Source organism: Homo sapiens, chromosome 16 (genome assembly GCF_000001405.40).
Source record: "Homo sapiens chromosome 16, GRCh38.p14 Primary Assembly".
Lineage (NCBI taxonomy): Eukaryota > Metazoa > Chordata > Mammalia > Primates > Hominidae > Homo > Homo sapiens.
The window spans coordinates 12,409,943-12,428,642 of record NC_000016.10 but is presented as its reverse complement, the minus strand read 5'-3'; the positions used below and the strand labels follow the sequence as shown (position 1 = coordinate 12,428,642).

General features: G+C 47.3%; 1 protein-coding gene across 19 annotated transcripts in view, besides 1 other annotated feature; it reads right to left on the bottom strand.

Annotated features, from left to right (window-relative positions):
* SNX29 (sorting nexin 29) overlaps positions 1-18,700 on the bottom strand; it is a 597,554-nt gene that overhangs the window by 145,645 nt on the left and 433,209 nt on the right. The gene's annotated exons all lie outside the window — the stretch shown is intronic.
* Positions 2,097-2,391: an enhancer, noted in NCBI's record as "tiled region #5052; HepG2 Activating non-DNase unmatched - State 7:EnhWF, and K562 Activating DNase matched - State 8:EnhW". NCBI's record gives its function as "activates a minimal TATA promoter and a strong SV40 promoter by Sharpr-MPRA in HepG2 and K562 cells {active_cell/tissue: HepG2 | K562}" and the evidence as "EXISTENCE:reporter gene assay evidence [ECO:0000049][PMID:27701403]".

Below are 18,700 nucleotides of genomic sequence, written 5' to 3'. Positions count from 1 at the left end.
TGTATTGGGATTAACTAGGAGATATAAATTGCAATCAAATATCTATGTATTGGGACTAACTAGGAGGAGATATTAATTGCAATCATATCTGTGTGGTGGGATTAACTAGAAGGAGATATTAATTGCAACTGTATCTATGTGAGTCCTTTGTTTTCCTTCTTTCTAACTTTATTTTCTGAATTTTCTATAAAGAAGATGTACTACTTTTAGCATTTTTTAAAGTTATTTATTTATTTATTTTTTAAGAAACTGGCTACTACCAGCTAAGACTGGTCTTACCTTATTTTAATCTTTGGAATGGACACCACCCTGAGTTCTGTTTAAGGATAATTCAAGCCATTCCAATGTCCAAATTGTCTCTGTTGATTTTTTAAGGAGAATAATTACATTTTATACTAAACTTATTTGCAGTCCAAATGCAGCTTAAAGCCCTGTTTTGATTACTTGTTTAGGGAAAGAGTAACATTAGAAAATGTCTAAGAATCACATTTGCATGATGGGTGATGAGGCAGGGAATTACAGTTGGGGGAAAAATAAAATAAAATAAAACCCTGAATATTCAACAGTGTGTATTGAATCTAAGGCCTACTCTTACATTCACATTTATATCCAACAAATTATCTTTCTCTGCTTCATGCAATCTCCTGTGTCTTTAAAGGCAAAAGGCACATTTGGCAAATGAAGCTGCTGCAGGGAGCTGTGCTTCGGGTAACTGCTAAATTGGAGTTTAAGTGCTTTGTCTGATCTTATTTAGCAACTGCTCTGGGAACTTGCCCTCAGAAGGTTTCTCCTTTCTCCCACCAAGTCAGCTGGCATCTTCCCAGTCATGGGGTCATTTTCAAGAAGACACATCAGGGCTCTGTGTCAACAGAAGCCAACATAGAGAATCCTGATGTTCAAGGTCAGCAAGACATCAAGGGCGCTCTGCACCCTCTTCCCACTGTGACTTCCTCTTGGGGTTCAGCCTGTCCTGGCACAGGCATTGTCTCTGGCCGTTTTATTAACCTCCAAGCATGGCCGATGCTTTGGGTCACTGTTGTTTGATTAAATACCAACAACCGAATAGAGAATTACAAAGTCAAGAGCAATTCCTATACCTAAAGTATTTTTTTTCTTTTATCAGTTCCCCAATTACTATTTGTCAAAAGGAAATACCTGGCTTCAAGGTAAACTGAGAAAATACAGATAAATAAAAAAAAGAAAAACAAAACATACAAAATCTCACTACCCAGAGAAAGCCATTGTTGGTTCCTATCAGAGGTGGCAAACTGGTAATTCACGCAGGTTAAAACATCTAATTGGTTGCCAACATTTAAAAATAAGAGGTTTTAACATTGAAATCAAGATTTTCATCACAAAAAAAAACAACAGCAACGACAAACAAACCTGGAAGATGAGGGAACACAGAGTCTGAAACCCTGCATGGTGACAGAGGGTTGGCACCGAGAAGAAACCACCTTGAGTCATTTCCCAGCTAGGCTCTGCAGACCCCAAGGGGTGCTACATCTGGCCTAGATCTTTCCATGTCTTTTCCTATGCTAATATATACATTTTAATTATAATTTTTAAAAATGAGCCTAAACTATCCATTCTCTTTTGTTACCTGCTTCTCCCTCCCCCATTCTGGCATATATAATAAATAGCTTTCCAAGCTGACATATTAGATCTACAATACTGGCCAGGCATGGTGGCTCGGGCCCTGTAATCCCAGCACTTTGGGAGGCCGAGGCAGGTGGATCACTTGAGGTCACAAGTTCAAGACCAGCCTGGTCAACATGGCAAAACCCCATCTCTACTAAAAATACAAAAATTAGCTGGGCATGGTAGCATGCACCTGTAATCCCAGCTACATAGGTAGCCAAGGCACAAGAATCGCTTGAACCCGGGAGGCAGAGGCTGCAGTGAGCTGAGATCGCGCCACTGCACTCCAGCCTGGGCGACAGAGTGAGATTCTGTCTCAAAAAAATAAATAATTTTTAAAAATTGAGATACAATTCACATACCATAAAATTCACCTTAAAAAGAATTTTAAAAATTAGATCTACATCACCATTTTTATTGGCTACGTAACACATATCTATCCTTCCTGGGGTTTTCTATAGTGAGTATTACTTGTGAAGGCACATTATATTTCTATTCTACCAGATGTTCCCATTACCCTCCTGCAGGGCTCCTCCCTGTGAGAGGATTATACTTTCCGGCTCATTATCTTCAGGCCTGACCATGTGTTTTGAGGGAGTGACGTGTCACTTCTGAGCAGAAGCTTTCAGGATCAGAGCAAGGCCTGCCACTGTCTCTTACCCCCCTGCCAGGAGAGCTGCAAGCCCCGGCTAAAGGCTGTTGCTTCTTCCTGGATCCTGGCATAGAGACAGCGTGAGCACAGGCCACAGCTGACCCATGATGGATGTGTGGCATGAGTGGGAAACAGATGAATAATAAACTTACTGTTGTAAGCTGCCAAGGTTTGAGGACTGTTTGTCACAACAGTATAACTTAGCCCAAGCTACCTGATATACCAAAGTATTAAAACAGTACTGTATCTTTTTAAAAAAAAAAAATAAGATAACTAAAAAACCAAATATTTTTTTTGTCCCAGTAAGCCTTTAGTACTCCTATAAAATAATTTTAAAAGGTCTCTGGCCAATGCCCAAGGCCTATCCCTGAAGGTCTTGGCAGGCTGTGGCTGGGTGATGGTTCTGTCTGCCTGCAAGAGAGTCCAGGTTAGCCCTGCAGAAAACACACCAAGTTTTGTGGGTACAGCAGAAATGGTTATTTCTGTCAACAGTGCCCAAGGGTAGAAAAAAGCAGCATGAAAAAACATGTAGCTCTCAGCACAAGATGCTCACAATAGGAGAGGAATTCCGAGAGGAATTCAGAAATGAATTCCTGGCTGGGGAAGAGCAGACCCTGGCCGCCCAAATCATCTGTGCAAACTCCAGGACACACTCTATTTGAGTAGAACTGGCCCAGGCTGCCCTGGGATTTAAACCAGATACGTCTGTCCATCCGTGTTGGATTTTTTTCCCCTTGTCTCTATCTGCCTCTTCTCTACTTCCCACCCTGCCTCTGTTTTCTATTCCCTCTTTTTATTTTTTTTATTTTTTTTTTTTTTTAACTCTGGTCATTTGGGTAGTGTGGACTTGACCAAACTGAATCAGCGTGCAATGGAATTACGTGTGCAGCCAGGGCTCCTGGGCCTCCTTCTAAGATCTGTGCTCCGGTGACTAAGTGATAAATACATGGGCATCATCCAGAGACCAGAGGCCTCAGGGGCACTCTGATCTTATGGCATCTGTTGAGCTAATGATTATCCACAGTTTCAATTTGCTTAACCCGCCACATCCACGTTGCCATCCTGGTTTCTTAGCATGTGCGGGGTGATCCAGCTTTCTGCTCTCTCCTGACCCCTCACTTTCACCCTGAGCACTGAAAACCTAAGTGACCCACATCAGCCGAGCTGCACCATACCCCCAGAGGACAACCTCCAAGAGCACAGATCGGTCTCACCCGCTTTTGCGTTTAGATTAATGCAATCACCTGGGTGTGTTTTGTTTGTATCTTTTTGTACCTAGTTTCTTTCACTCAACATTGTTTATGAGATCCAGCCATACTGTTGCCTGTAGTTACACATCTTTAATCTCCTTGCAGCCCAAGGTTCCACTGTGTGAATGTACCCCAATTTATTTATCCATTTGTCTATGGACGGGCATGTTAGGGTTATCCTCCATTTATTGATGTGGTTGATTAGTATTAATTTTCTCCTCACTACAGACTGTAATTCCATGATGACAAGAAGCTAGTCTACTCTCTCATTACTATAACCTAATCCTTAACACAGTGTCTGATCCATAATAACTGAGGGAAGGAAGGTATAGAGAGGGGAGAGACGGAGGAGAAGATACTGTCTGTTACAGGTATCCCCCCAGATAGAACTCCACTCGGAACAACAAGGTCTATTTCAACAATCAAAATAAATAATAGCCTGATTCCTGCTTGCTTCATAAGCTACTTCTCTCCTGCATATTTCACATTTAATTAAGCCCCTAGGCTCTGAAGCTATTTCTGCCTCTTACTGCTAATAAAGATTTTTAGATGTAATTAGTAATAATTTGCAGGTACCAGCAGTCTCCAGCTCTCTCAAAGCAGGTTGCTTACCATGGTTCTAGTCGCCCAAGGAAGGGCCCTAAGACAGAATATTATCATCTCCATGATATTAGCACATTCAAGAGATAAAACCTCCCTATTCAATTATCTCTTCAATTTTCCATATAAAGTATGCAGTGGAAGAGAAAAGAAACAGCAAAATCAAAACTCTTATGCAAGGAAAAGAACAGAAACTGACCATGGGGCCTCCTGGTCAAAGACTCTGGCCTTGGGCAATGGCCACACCCTAGACAGACCCACACTCTGCTCTTGAAGGGCTCTTCATTTTACCCGTGATAGAGATCGACAAGAGAAAGTCGCTGCACTGCTACCTGGGAAGAGAAATTGGCTTCTGAAATCTGAAAAGTACAAAGTCATCCTCTTAAAACTAAATCTTTCTGATCACGCCTCTGAGGCTCTAACGTAGACATGTGCAAAGCTAAGGCTGCCAGTAGCCCTGATTCCCTCTGGCCAACCAGCTCAGAATATGCTTAGAACTTCACTTCATGGACCTCACACTCTCTGGTGAGAAACAGGACTATCCCCGACACCAGGCCCCTTGTCCACCTCAACAGTATCACCTTTTGGCCACAGGCCCTGACATGCACTCTTCTTACAAAAACTTGTAGGCTGGGCACGGTAGCTCACGCCTGTAATCCCAACACTTTGGGAAGCTGAGGCTGGTGGATCACTTCAGGTCAGGAATTCAAGACCAGCCTGGCCAACATAGCGAAACCCCATCTCTATTAAAAATACAAAAACTTAGCCAGGCTTGGTGGTGCGCGCCTGTAACCCCAGCTATTCGGGAGGCTGAGACAGGAGAATGGTTTGAACACGGGAGGCAGAGTTTGCAGTGAGCCAAGATGGCGCCACTGCACTCCAGCCTGGGCGACAGAGCCAGACTCCATCTCGAGAAGAAGAAGAAGAAAAAAAAGCATGTCCCAAATGCACTTGGCACCTGTTACCCCAGCCTTCGTTCCAAAGGTTTCACATTTGGATACAGTTATCTGCCTGTCCCTCTGTGCTCGTAGGGTTTGCCTGAGCCCCAAAGCCCTGAGCTGGAGGGGAGGCTCTGAGCTGAGTGATGCCGGCTGCAGCTTCCTCATCTGGAAGTGATGCCATTGCTCATGCCCGATGTTCATCCTGAGGTTGACGGGAGGCAGTGGGTAGAGACGGTCTGTGAGCCATCAGGCAGCTGTTCAGTCATCAGCTCTTATGATCTACGTTTATGTGATGAATGTTTTCCCAGGGCCTGCGGCATGGGAATAATAAGCATTTTATTTCTGTGTTTAAAAAAAAAAAACAACCCCATGCATTGGTGAGTAAATGCTTCTCCTGGCTTTAGCGAGCCGAGGGTCCATCTTTGGAACTTGCATTGTGCCTGTAGCATGAAGGCTTGGTATCACCTCGTATTCACCTCAACTGCTGCATGACACTATGAGGCTGGGTTTTTGTGTGTGTGTTTGTTTCTTCCTGAGCTGGGCTTTGAGAAGCCTGAGTCTTATAATGAAGTAGACAGGGTGGGGCTGTTCCTTTAAGCTTCGGATGTTTCTTTCCTACCTGTTCCAGATACAGAAATGCATTTCCAGTCCAACCTTTAAAGCCTATCTCCGTACACCACCAGCAGCCTCATCCTGAGAGACTGTGAATCCCAGCTCCATGCCAGGCTTCACAAAAGTGAAATTGTCAGACTGCTCTGTCGGGGGCTGAAGGAAGCAGCTGAGCTGGCGGCCATGTGGAGGCCTCTTCTCAGGGGCTGGGAGAGAGAGGTGTGTGAAAGTGTAGTTTGCTGATTGGGTTCTCAGGAAGTCCCTGAGGATGGTATTATAACCTTGAGAGCATGGGACAGTGGAGATGGGACGAGGAATCTCAACTCTGCTGCTGGACTGACTTGGCCCAGACAACAGGAGGTGGGTGTTGGGACAAGGAGCCCAGGGAAGACGAGGAGGGAAGCAAAGTTCAAGCATCTCACTTGCCAGAAGAAGCTGAGAGGGAAACAAGCTGCTTTTTGCAGCAGGGGATTTGGAAGAAGTTACTTGCTAGACTGTCGAAGTAACAGTTATGTTACCAAGTCTGCCCCACCCCGCCTAATTTTGCATTAATTAAAAACACCAGGGGAAACAGATACACAAGGGCTGTGGTAACAGGAAGCATGGCTATTTACTGAGCCTTTCATATTACAGCTCTGATTCCTCTCTGCCACCTCATGAGGGGAGGTATTTTCATCTCTGTTTGCAGATGGGTAACCTGAGGCCCAACAGGTGCAATAACCTTCCCAAGGTCACACAGCCATTGAGTGGCAGAGGAAGCTGCAAACCTAGGTCTAGACAGCCTGCCAGCTGTATGTTTTTAAGGAGAAAAATGCTGCCTCTTTCTTAAATGAGTTTCCCTAAGAAAGGAGAGAGAAGATGAAATACTGTTGATGACAATGTTTGATGATGGTGAGGATATGGATGATAGGTGATGATGCTATGGATGGCTGACGATGAAAGGGATGGATGGCTGATGATGGTGATGGATAGATGATGCCTGTGATGGGTGGTTGATGATGGTGATGGATGATGGACGGATGATGATGGTGATGGACGGCTGGTGATGGTGATGGACGGCTGGTGATGGTGATGGACGGCTGGTGATGGTGATGGATGGCTGGTGATGGTGATGCATGGCTAGTGATGGTGATGGATGGTTAATAATGGTGATGGTTGGTGATGATGATGATAACTGGTAATGATGGTGATGATGATAATGATGGTGATGCTTCTGATTGAGGAGGAAGGAGGAGGGGAACTAATGATGACAATGGTGATCATGGTTGATGACAGCAGTGGCAGCAGCTATAATGTTTCCTAAGAACTTCCCATGTGTCAGACATTGCGTCAAGTTCTCTCCATTCTTTACCTCCTTAAATCTAACAGCACTCTGATAGGAAAATTCTAGTTACGGCTGCAGTTACAGAGTAAGAGGCCAGTGTTTTCCTTGAACACCCTATATGTGTTAAGGGAAATCAAATCAAGAAAGATCTAGGAATATTTCCACTGTTTACAACACAGCTGGCTTTTAAGTATTCATGGTCAAGGGCCTGGCAGAGCCTGGGGAACTGAAGCCCCATTTGGTCTCCAAACCTCCTTTGAGACCTTGGTTTTTACTCTCTCCCTGGCTAAATCTTTGTCTGGACTTGTTAAAGGGCAGAGCAGCCTACTCTGAATTTCCACCTCCTTGGCTCTTAGGAGTAGCCTCCATTACTTTTGGCTTCTAACTCTTAGCATGAAGAATAAAGCAGTGGCTGCTGGCTTGGCTTCTCAGTCTGTGTTTTCAACACCTTGGGTTTCGAAAGATTGTGGATCAGAGTGCAAAGCCCAGCTCTATTATTTCCCAGCTATGACCTTAGGCAAGGCACTTAACCTTCCTGTGCCGTAGTTTCCTTATCTGTAAAATGCAGCTACTGACCACCTCATGTCTCGGGCTGGCATGAGGATTAAGTGAGGTATCGCAGAAAAAGTACCCCGCATAGCACCTAGTACACAGGACTAACAGGCATTATCTCATCTGTGTTCCCATCTTGCTGTCAAACTGCGGAGGAGACAAGAAGGTGGTGCTCTCAGCAGCGCTGGTGGCTCCCTCCTTCCCTCGCTCATCACTTCCCCCAGGGCGGACATGGGGCCTTGTGGGCGAGACTATCAGTGTTCACCCTGAAGCATGAGCTTGGTGACTCATGCGTCCATCATTTCCCTGAGGCTGCCTCTTCATCTCATCTCACCTTGACTGAGTACTCAGTAGGGGCCAGTCCTACTAAGTGGCTTTACCTCTATCATCTCATTTAATCCTTATATCAACTCTGTGAGGTCAGTGCTATGATTATCTCCTTGTATGGAGACAGAAACTGACATGCAGAGATGTTAAGAAACTTCACAGCACATACAGGTGTGAACTCGGGTTTCAGTCGACTCAACACCATACTCCATCTTGAGAATCCATGTCAAACACTTGCCAACACCAGGATGTGCCTCACTGCAGAGGTTTGATTCCTCCAGCAGACCCACGGGCTTCCCACCACCCTCACCTCCCAGGCCTCTGGAAGAGAAGATGAAACACCCTGATTTTACTGATTCTGAGACAGGCATTATCTTCACATGTGACATCTCTGAAATCAGGATGGGTCTAACACTTGACGGTGTCTTCGATTCTGTGAAATATTGGAAATAATGGGCTATCAACTCATTCATTTCTTTATTCATTTCAGTTGTCTATTCATCAGTAAGTATTAATGTGAAACTTCGCAAGAAGGCAGTTTTGCCTCCCAGGTGACATGTGTCAATGCTGGAGACATCTTAGCTTGTCACAACTAGGGAGTGGATGTGGCTGCTGCTGGGTAGAGGCCAGGAGGCTGTTCAACATCCCATAATGCACAGGGGACCCCTTGTAACCCAGAATTACCTGGCCCAAAATGTCAGCTGTGCTGCAGTTAAAAAACCCTGGTGTGGAGATGCACATATTTCACCAAACTGGCCCTAAGCCGAGCCTGAGCTGTGGGCAGCCTGCAGGCTTCAGTGGACGTGGGCTGATTTTGGCCAGTTAAACACCATCTCCCTTCTGCTAGTCAGAGCACCCTCATTTTCTTTTGGGGAAAACATCTTTCTCCCACCGACCTATGGCTTTAGGAGTAGGTACACGACACCGACCCAGTATCACACCTACCCAGGCACTGGGGTCAGCAGACACGTGGTATGGCCTAGACCATTGAGAGTCAAAGACAGTCACTTCCAGGACTGTTGTCAGCCTCAGAAGAAACAGGGGCCTTTCCCCTGGGGGCAGCATGGACATTTCCAAGACGATGCAGGCCTGGAGCTGCAACCCACCACCCCTGCCACCACAGCCTGGGCGTGAACACAGCCAACACAGAGCAACGCAAATCGACAGAAAGATGGGGGGGGGGGCTGAGTCTGATGACACTAAGCCCCTAAAATTCAAGCTGTACCCTTGGTCTTTTCCATCAGGCAAGTCAATGAATGTCATCTGTTTCCTGTCAATCTGAGCTGGATTTCCTCCTCCCGCAACCAAGAGCGTGCAAGTGTCAATGGGGAATGAGTGTCTTGATGAGAAGAATGAGGTGGTCAGCTGTCTCCCACACTGTCCCCATTGGAGGAGCCCTGCCTTAAATAGGAACAGGAATCACATTACAGGGGCAGGCCGGGTCCTGCTGAGGAGATGGCTGCATTGAGAGGATGCTGTCACACAAGTATCTGGGCAGGCACAGATTCAACCCCTACCACCAGCCCTCGGACCAAGATGCAGCTCCTCACATAAACCTGCCTACAAAGAATCAAGCACAAGGACAGGGAGAAACATCGGAACTAAACAATGCTTACACTGTTGACTAGAGACAAGGGTTTCTCAACGGTGGCGCTGTAGACATTTTGGGATAGGATATTCTCTGTTGTGGAGGGATGTCCTGTGCACTGTAGGATGTTGAGCAGCACCCCCGGCCCTGCCCACTACAAGCCAGCAGCCCCTTCTTTCCACTCAGTCTAGCAAGGGAGGCATCAGACAGGTTTAGGCAGATGTATAACTGCCGCTCCTGGCAAGGAGAGAAAGCTTCATGGAGAAGGGGACTTCTGGGCTGACTGTGTAGGAAACTGCAAGATGGGAACTGACACCAGGCATGTGAAGAAAACTTGGAAACATGGCCAGGTGCTGTGGCTCACATCTGTAATCCCAGCACTTTGGGAGGCCAAGGTGGGTGGATCACTTGAGGTTAGGAGGTCGAGACCAGCCTAACCAACAGGGCAAAACCCCGTCTCTACTAAAAATACAAAAATTAGCTGGGCACGGTGGCAGGCACCTGTAATCCCAGCTACTCAGAAGGCTGAGGCAGGAGAATCACTTGAATCCGGGAGGTGGAGGTTGCAGTGAGCCAAGATCGTGCCACCGCACTCCAGCCTGGACAACAGAGTGAGACTCCATCTCAAAAAAAAAAGAAAAGAAAACCCAGAAACACAGAAGGACAGAAACTGGTGCAAATGACCACACCATGCCCAGAAACCCTAAGACCACAGCCAGACTGAACAGGTCCCTTTCTCCTTCTCACCCACTCCACTAGAAAAACAGCTTTCTAGCAAAAAAAAAATAAATACAATCCTCATCGTCAACATGAACATCCTACATCTGATGTGTGTTGTGGCTCCAGACTGTTTTCTCTCCTGATCAGGTTAATCTGGAGGAAGGACGCTAGCAAACGGTTTTGCGGCAATTGGTGAAAAGTGGTATTTAGAGTTAAGGCTGTCTTAAATATGAAATATCACCAGCCAATTAACATCAATTTTAAATCTGTACTACAACAATAATTGGTCATTAAAAGTTCTGGGTGAATACTATCAGGAGTGACTCGGTAGTCATGTCAGGGAAGCACTTTCCCGACACGTGGGAATCCTCCAATGTAAGACAAATCCCACATGCATTTGCATGTGGTTCCCAGAGAAAAACGTGCCCTGCGGCTTTATCTATTCCCTTCCCCTTCCCAGGAGCTCAGAGACTCAATGCTGCGGCCAAAGACAGACAGTGCGGAGTACCAAGAAGCCATCCAATTACTGCAGGCAGAGAAAGCTCACTCGCTGTCGGCATACAGCGCTTCTCTTCCCAGGGCTCAAGAAAAACAGGGAGAGGCAGGAAATTATGAATTTCCTCTCCACATCAAGGACTAAGAAGGAACAAAGAGAAAGAAGGAAAGGGGAAGGGAAAGGGTGAGGAGGGTGAGGAGACAAGAAGTGGGAGGAAGGAAAGAGAAGAGAGGAAAGAGAAGAGAGGACACAGAACAGGAGAGAGGCAGTAAGAGGAGGAAGGGAAGAGGGAAATGACAGGGAAAAGGAATGACAAGGAACAGGGAAAAGGAATGATGAGGAATAGGGAAAAGGAATGAGAAGGAGGAGGAAAGAGGGAAACAGAAAGAGAAAAGGAAAAGACCAGGGGAGGGATGTAGAGTGTGCAAAGCGGGGAGCAAAGAGAAGGAAGGAAAGGAGAACCACCCACCCCCTCTGACCCACTAGCTCATCTCCCTCCCTGATGTGCCACAGGAATGTCCTCATTGCCCCTGGCCCTCATAGACAGATGCTGGGAGACCAGGTGAGCCAGACAGCCTGAAACAAGGAAAGACACCTGGACAGAGGCGGCTTCCATGGAAGCTCACTTCTGGAACCAGAGCACTCTAGATGCTGAACACAGGAAGCCCAGTGTGCCAAGAGGTACACACAGCCTGGCTACGCAGAAGAAACACAAAGCATTTTCACTGCAGACTAGCCTGAGGGAAATGCAAGTTTCATAAACAGTAAGATACGGATGGATTATGGAGTAGAATGCAAACCGCCCCTGATTGTCTCATGGAATGGTAGGCTCCCAAGAAGTACTGTGCCTGAGGTGGCTGGCACCCTGGCTGCACCTGGGAGGCCCTTCCCCTTACTCAAGCGTATCTCACTAGGCGCAGTGCCTGGCACACAGCAGGGGCTCCATAAATGTTCAGTTTTGTTTTACTTTTAATTGGCACATAATAATTATACACAGTTATGGGGTTGATATGTTTGTCCCCTCCAAATCATGTTGCAATGTCACCCCTGAAGCTGGAGGTGGGCCTAGTGGGAGGTGTCTGGGGCATGGGGCAGATGCCTCATGAATGGCTTGGTGCCCTGCCCATGAGAATGAGTGACTTCTTGTTCTGTTAGTCCATGTGAGGGCTGGTGGTTGGGATAGAGTAACACCTCCTCCTCTCTCTTGCTCCTTCTCTTGCCATGTGACATGCCTGCTCCCCCTGCACCTTCCACCATGACTAAAAGCCTCCAAGGCCTTCCCAGAAGCCGAGCAGATGCTGACACCATGCTTCTTGTACAGCCTGCAGAACTGGGAGCCAAAGAAACCTCTTCTCTTTATCAACTACCCAGCGTCAGGTGTTCCTTCACAGCCACACAAAACAAACGAACTCAGGGGCATGATGTGGTGTTTTGCTACATGTATCTGTTTTGTAATCAAATCAGGGTAATGAGCAGATCCATCACCTCAAATACTTCTCATTTCTTTGTGGTGGAAACATTCAGAACCCTCTCTTCCAGCTATTTTGAAATATACGTCATTGTTAACCATAGTCACCCTGCTGCGCAACAGATCACCAGAACTTCTTCCTCCTGTCTAACTGTGACTCTGCAATGACCAATGAGTGACTGGGCGGTGCCCCGAGACAAGCCCCGGGGCTCTGCTTGCGTCTGTGCTAAGTGCATTTGAGGGGCAGTTTAAGAAAAGCTGAGAGGGACTCGACGTTTAAGGAGGAGGGCCCATGAGCAGTCTCTGGGGTCAGAAACCGAACAGAGCACAGCCTGCCCAGTTCTGGGTTCCTTACCTCCTACAGGCTGATGCAAAGGGGCTGTAGTTGTCTTTTTCAAACCAGAGGACAAGCCAGGCGGCCATCCTCAGAGCCTGTTTAACTGAGGCAGATGCATGTGTCTGACAGTACGGCCCTGGCCACATTCAGAAGACGGCCCCCACTCCAACAATGCTCCCAGGACGAGCTGTACAGGGAAGAGGTCCTGCCATTTCTTCCCGACAAGATGATCTCCCCAGGGGAGATGGGGTTTAAGAGGCATCCCTTTCCAACATCCCTAAAAATAAATATAACTATTTTGGATATAGGAGAGAGTGGGCATTCCCAGCCTGGGTTGGGGAGCACAGGGAGTGTGTGGTGTGGCAGTTCAGGGCAGGTGCCAACTGTTCCCCATGGAGACCCGCTGGGGAGGAGAGTCCATCTACCTGTCAGCCTGACCAAGTCCGCTCACCAGGCCTCACTTCCTCCCCTGGATGTGGGAGGTAACATCCTAGACCAGCCCCAATCATCAGGTGGGATGGAAGGTCTGACGGAGGCAGACGCTGGGCCTGGCATAGTGCAGGACCCCAAGACATCAATACCAACCTGCCTGCGAGGAGAACTTCATGGGTGGATTAATTCATTTTAGAAAGTTTTTTAAGTTTATACTCTGTCCAGGCAGTAGGTGAGGGCAAATGGACAACCTGTCCTTGCTGTGTAATTACAAGGCCTCATCCAAATACATCAGAAATGCTGTGTGTGAGTATGAAACTCAATGGTGCCAGAAGGAGCTGCTGAGTGCATCTTGATCAAGACTCCAAGGCAATCCTGCCGAGTGGGCAGCAAGGCTGTCTCAGCCATTATTGGGGTCCTGCCCACTCCCCAGCCTTCAGGACAGTGTGGCGCTTGTACAGCGCTTATACCTTGCAGAAAGGACTTCCAACCTGCAGACAGTGGCCCACTCACTGCCAGTTTGTGGGTCCTGGTTTTCTGCTCCCAGGGCACACAAGCAAGCTGGAATTTTTGCCCGGACTTGGAGCCTTGCCTCCCTGGGAGGTCTCTCTTGTTCTGGGGCCTGCCATGGAGCCCTTAGCCCCTAGCTGTCTTCTCAAAGGAGTCTCTTTAAAAAGACAACAGGCCGGGTGCAGTGGCTCATGCCTGTAATTCCAGCACTTTGGGAGGCTGAGGCAGGTGGATCATTTGAGGTTAGGAGTTCGAGACCAGCCTAGCCAACATGGTGAAACCCCATCTCTACTAAAAACACAAAAAATTAGCCGGGCATGCTGGTGGGCACACGTAATCCCAGCTACTCAGAAGGCTCAGGTGGGAGAATTGCTTGAACCCCGGAGGCGAAGGTTGCTATAAGCCAAGAGTGTGCCACTCCACTCCAGCCTTGGAGACACAGAGTCTGTCTCTAAATACATACATACATACATACCAACAAATAAACAAACAAAATCGTCCCAAGCTTTTGAAAAACAACGGCCAGGCAGGAAAATGTCTTTGCAGGACTTCTACTTTTACCAGAAATCTCCCTTCAGGTGAGGGAGCAGAAAAGACCAGCTGGCTACAACCAGGGAACTTGGAAAAGGAAAGAGACCGGGGGAATCACAGATCAGTAGCTTAGCAAGTTCCTCTTCTTCATGTTTTTGTTTCTGTAACCGTGGAGGTGAAGATGGGATATGGAGACCACACTTAGAAGGTCCCACTTAAGCCACGGTTAATATGACTTGGTGAAAAGAGGATGATTTCCAAACACCTCTCTTACTTTTTTACTTGTACTTTTAGAGTTGAGGTCTTGCTGTCACCCAGGCTGGAGTGCAGCGGTGTGATCATAGCTCACTGCAGCCTCGATCTCCTGGGCTCAAGCAATTCTCTTACCTCAGTCTGCTGAGTAGCTGTGTTTACAGGCACAAGCCACCACACCTGGCTCAAATTTTTAATTTTTAATACAGTCAGCCCTCCGTATCAGTGGGTTCTGCATCCACAGATTCAACCGACCACAGATTACAAATACTCAAAAAAGTGCATCTCTACTGAACATGCACACACTTTTATCTTGTCATTATTCCCTAAGCAATACCATGTAACAAATATTTACATGATATTTGCATTGTACTAGGTATTGTAAGTAATCTAGAGATGACTTAGCATCTACAGGAGGATGCACTTAGGTTATATGCAAATACTATGGCATTTTATATGAGGGACTTGAGCACCCTCAGATTTGGGTGTCCATGGGGGGTCCCGGAACCAATCCCCCCCAGACAAGCAAGGGATGACTGTATGGTAATTTACATCCCGCCTCATTTAGAACAATGGACACCACCATTTAGGAGCGGTAAGTGAGTAAGGCCACTCTCAGCAAGGCGGCTCTCAAAGCCACAGGCTGATGCAGGAAGTGCGGGGCAGGGCGCCTGGCGTGAGGATCGTCCAGCGCCTGCGTATGCTCAACATGCTGCCCACCTCCAAGACGACTCAACAGGAGAGAGGATGAACAAGCTGTCTCCCCTGCACAGCAGCGTACCACTGAACACTCACGTCACTTCGTTGCTTCCGAGGTGCCATTGTCTCGAGGGCCCTGTCACTTCTCACAGAGCCACTCCTCTGTGTTCACACCTCAGCTTCCTTCTCCACAGTATCCTTCCTGCTGTCTCCACCTCACCTGGCTCCCTTCTCTGTAGCCTCAGGCCTCTTCTGAGAGATCACTGCACCCTGGCTGCCATTCGGTAAGTCAGGACCCTGTTATTCGCTCCCATATCCACCCTGTACCCCACCCTCTGCCACCTGTCTCTTCCCCAGCACTTTCATTTCCAGGAAGGACAGTTATTACTGCTAACGTATTTTGCCTGCAGTTAGGAGATCCCACCACTTCAGCAAGAGTGACCTGGCTATGCCCTTCACTGTTTTTATCTCCCGTTTTGAGACATTCCCCACACTTGTAATGATTATTTCACATTCCCCTTCTCCATTAGAACTTAGCTAATGAGATGAACCTTGCCCAGGCCCAACACTCCCTTCCTAACCAAAACCAAATACTCAGTGACAACTGTGGCCACAGAACAGAAACAAAACAAAACAAAAGCTGCCAATCTCCATGATGAGCAAACGTGACAACATGCTCTAACCTCCCCAGCCCTTGCCTGATAAACACACTGGGTAGCTCTCCGGATGGGTTACTTCTGGGCGCAGAAGGAGTCAGGAAAGGGAGAGAGAGCCAGGTAGCCCTGAGACACAGCAGAAACATGAGTGGCTAGAAAGTGTCACCAATTCCTCCACTCTGTTTGCTACTGAGAGTATGATCTAGTGCAAAACACTTCTTTTGATTTTCTCATATAAAAAGTAAATATAAAAATTCAGACAGTTCACCTGCCAAGAGGGTGTGTCCACCTCTACCTATAGACTATTTACAAAGCCCATGTCTTTAGCTTTCCAAGTAAAAAATTATAATTCTGAATGTACCTTTCAAAACACACACAAAAACACATGCACACGTATGCACGCACACACAGGTGAGCTCTAAGTTTTCTTCAAAGCCTAACACGCGAAGACTTTATGCATATGAGGCTGAAAAGGTCTCCACCTTAACAGACTTGTCACATTCCCAGGGACCCATCAATTCCACACTCTCGTCTTTGCAGCGCTCTCTCCCGTGTGAAAAATATTACCTTGTCACCAGTATCAGCTGCCCACGGCAGCTGTGACAATGAGTGATGGGTCAATGAGAGAGTGACAGAATTCCTTTCAGGAAACATGTTATGGAAACAGGTTCATTTCACTGAGACAAATTTGTGAAGCACACGCCTTGGTGGTTGGGTGAGGAGCAACGTGGAGCAGACAGAGGCATGAGGCAGATCTTGTGCATGACCCAGAGGGACTCATTCAACCCAGAGTCACAGCTGCTTCATCTATAAGATGGGGATCATGAAAACAGTGCCTACCCCATAGGTTGCTGTAAGAATTAAGCAGCAATGTGCATTAAACAGTCTGCAGCAGAGGCTGGGGCGTCCTACCCGATGGCCGGCTCTCCCACCCCTCCGCAAAGCCTCATGTAACCGCCCTTGAACTTCGGTTGCTTTCATGGAGGTCCTGTCTCCCCACCAGGTGCCAGGTACCTTAGGAAAATGCTGTCTTGCTCTTTGCAGCCCATGTAAAGCCCTTGGTGAAGGAGATGCTCCATACAGTTTTTTTGAACACGGGGACATGCCCAGAGACATTTGATTCAACAAGGGGAAAATCTTTTTCCGTTTCCTTCCAGGCTTAATTGCTTATCACAAGTCAAGTGGTTATCAGATCACAAAGGTAACATTCACAGAGTAGCTATGGCCCAAGCATTTCATATGTCATCACACACGGTCACATCCATGCTGCAAGGTGAGTGGTGTCCCGTCCCTCCTCCTTGTTCCTTTCTCTGCAGAGCGAGGCTACCTTTACCCCACACAGCCTGCCTTCTTGCTAAACTAGTGAGACTGGTGACGGTCAGCTCAATGTCAAGTTTGGCTCCCACTGGTTCTGCAGGTTTGGCACATGCTGGGCATATAGCAGAACCTTGATCAACAGCTTTGGGACGAATAAAGGCTTTATACTGGAAGGGAAATTTTAAAAATTCTTCCTATTTGGAAAGATAAAGCAGAAAGAGGACAGCAGTGACACATATGTCCAGCAGGAAGGGGAGAGCATTTTGCCTTTGGCTTTCTGTTTTCACCTACATCAGGCTTTCCTGGGAGCCCTGAGCATTCCAGGAACAGCTAGGGGTTCATGTGCTATGATCCTCAGAACGCCGGGGTGGAAAGCTCTCAAGGAGAGACACAGCAAGAACAAGGGCAAGTGCTCCCCTGGTCTGGCTTGGCCTGCAACACAGGAGCCCACACTGGCTGGGATGAAACTCACAAATCAAACAGCAAACGGCTGCCTCAGTCCACGGCCGGCTCTCCTGTCTACCTGGTATACAACAGGTGTGACAGGAAGGACCAGGTGTGAGCAAGAGAGAAATGCTTCAGCCTTAGAACGGGTCCTTCTCTCCCCTAAATTTGGAATGGTATCTGCTAAGGCAGAGGCTTCTCAGAGCCCACATCACTGCAGCTGCAGTTCCCATTTCTGTACTCGGTCCAACCATTTCATCTTTCTCTACTTAATGAATTCTTCCCTCTCTGCATAGCTACACAGGAAGCAAGCATAAAGACAGAGCTGTGGGTAAAAGAGAACTTGAGGGCCCAAGGGGTAAGCTATCTTAAGAGAGGATGAAAAGGAAGAGCTGAGAAACGCAAAGCCTGAAGTCCAAAAACATCACCATCCTCCAAACCACCTGAAGCTCATGCAGCCTGCCAAGATGCCGTGATCTATTATTAATATAAAAATAATACGCTTTCCCTGCATTACATATATAAATATGCTTAGCTGGATTAAACCTTTAAAAGTCCCCAGAGGCCAGGCACAGTGGCTTGCACCTGTAATCCCAGCACTTTGGGAGGCCCAAGTGGGAAGATCACTTGAGACCAGGAGTTACAGACCAGCCTAGGCAGCACAGTGAGACCCTGTCTCTTCAAAAATATGGGCATTGTGGTACATGCCTACAGTTCCAGATACTTAGGAGGCTGAGGCAGGAGGATTGCTTGACCTGGAAATTCAAGGCTGAAATGAGCCATGATTGTGCCACTGCACCCCAGCCTGAGTGACAAAGCGAGACCCTGTCTCCAACAAAGTAATAATAATAACCACTCAGGCTATGTGATTTTGTTCTGCAGGATGGGAGATGGGAAGAGTTCAGATACTGAACAAGTTTTCCTGGGATACCAACATTCCTCAGGCCAAGACAACACCCTGTGGCCTCTAGGAAACAGAACTTATTCTAGAAGAAAAAAACGCGGCCAGGCGCAGTGGCTCACACCTATAATCCCAGCACTTTGGGAGGTCGAGGCAGGTGGATCACGAGGTCAGAAGATCAAGACCACCCTGGCTAACACAGCGAAACCCTGTCTCTACTAAAACTACAAAAAATTAGCCAGGCGTGGTGATGGGTGCCTGTACTCCCAGCTACTCAGGAGGCTGAGGCAGGAGAATCACTTGAACCCGGGAGGTGGAGCTTGCAGTGAACCGAGATTGCGCTACTGCACTCCAGCCTGGGTGACAGAGCGAGACTCCCTCTCAGAAAAAAACAAAACAAAACAACAACAAAAAAAACGCTTTGCTGAAACAAAGCAACCCTCTTTACAAAGA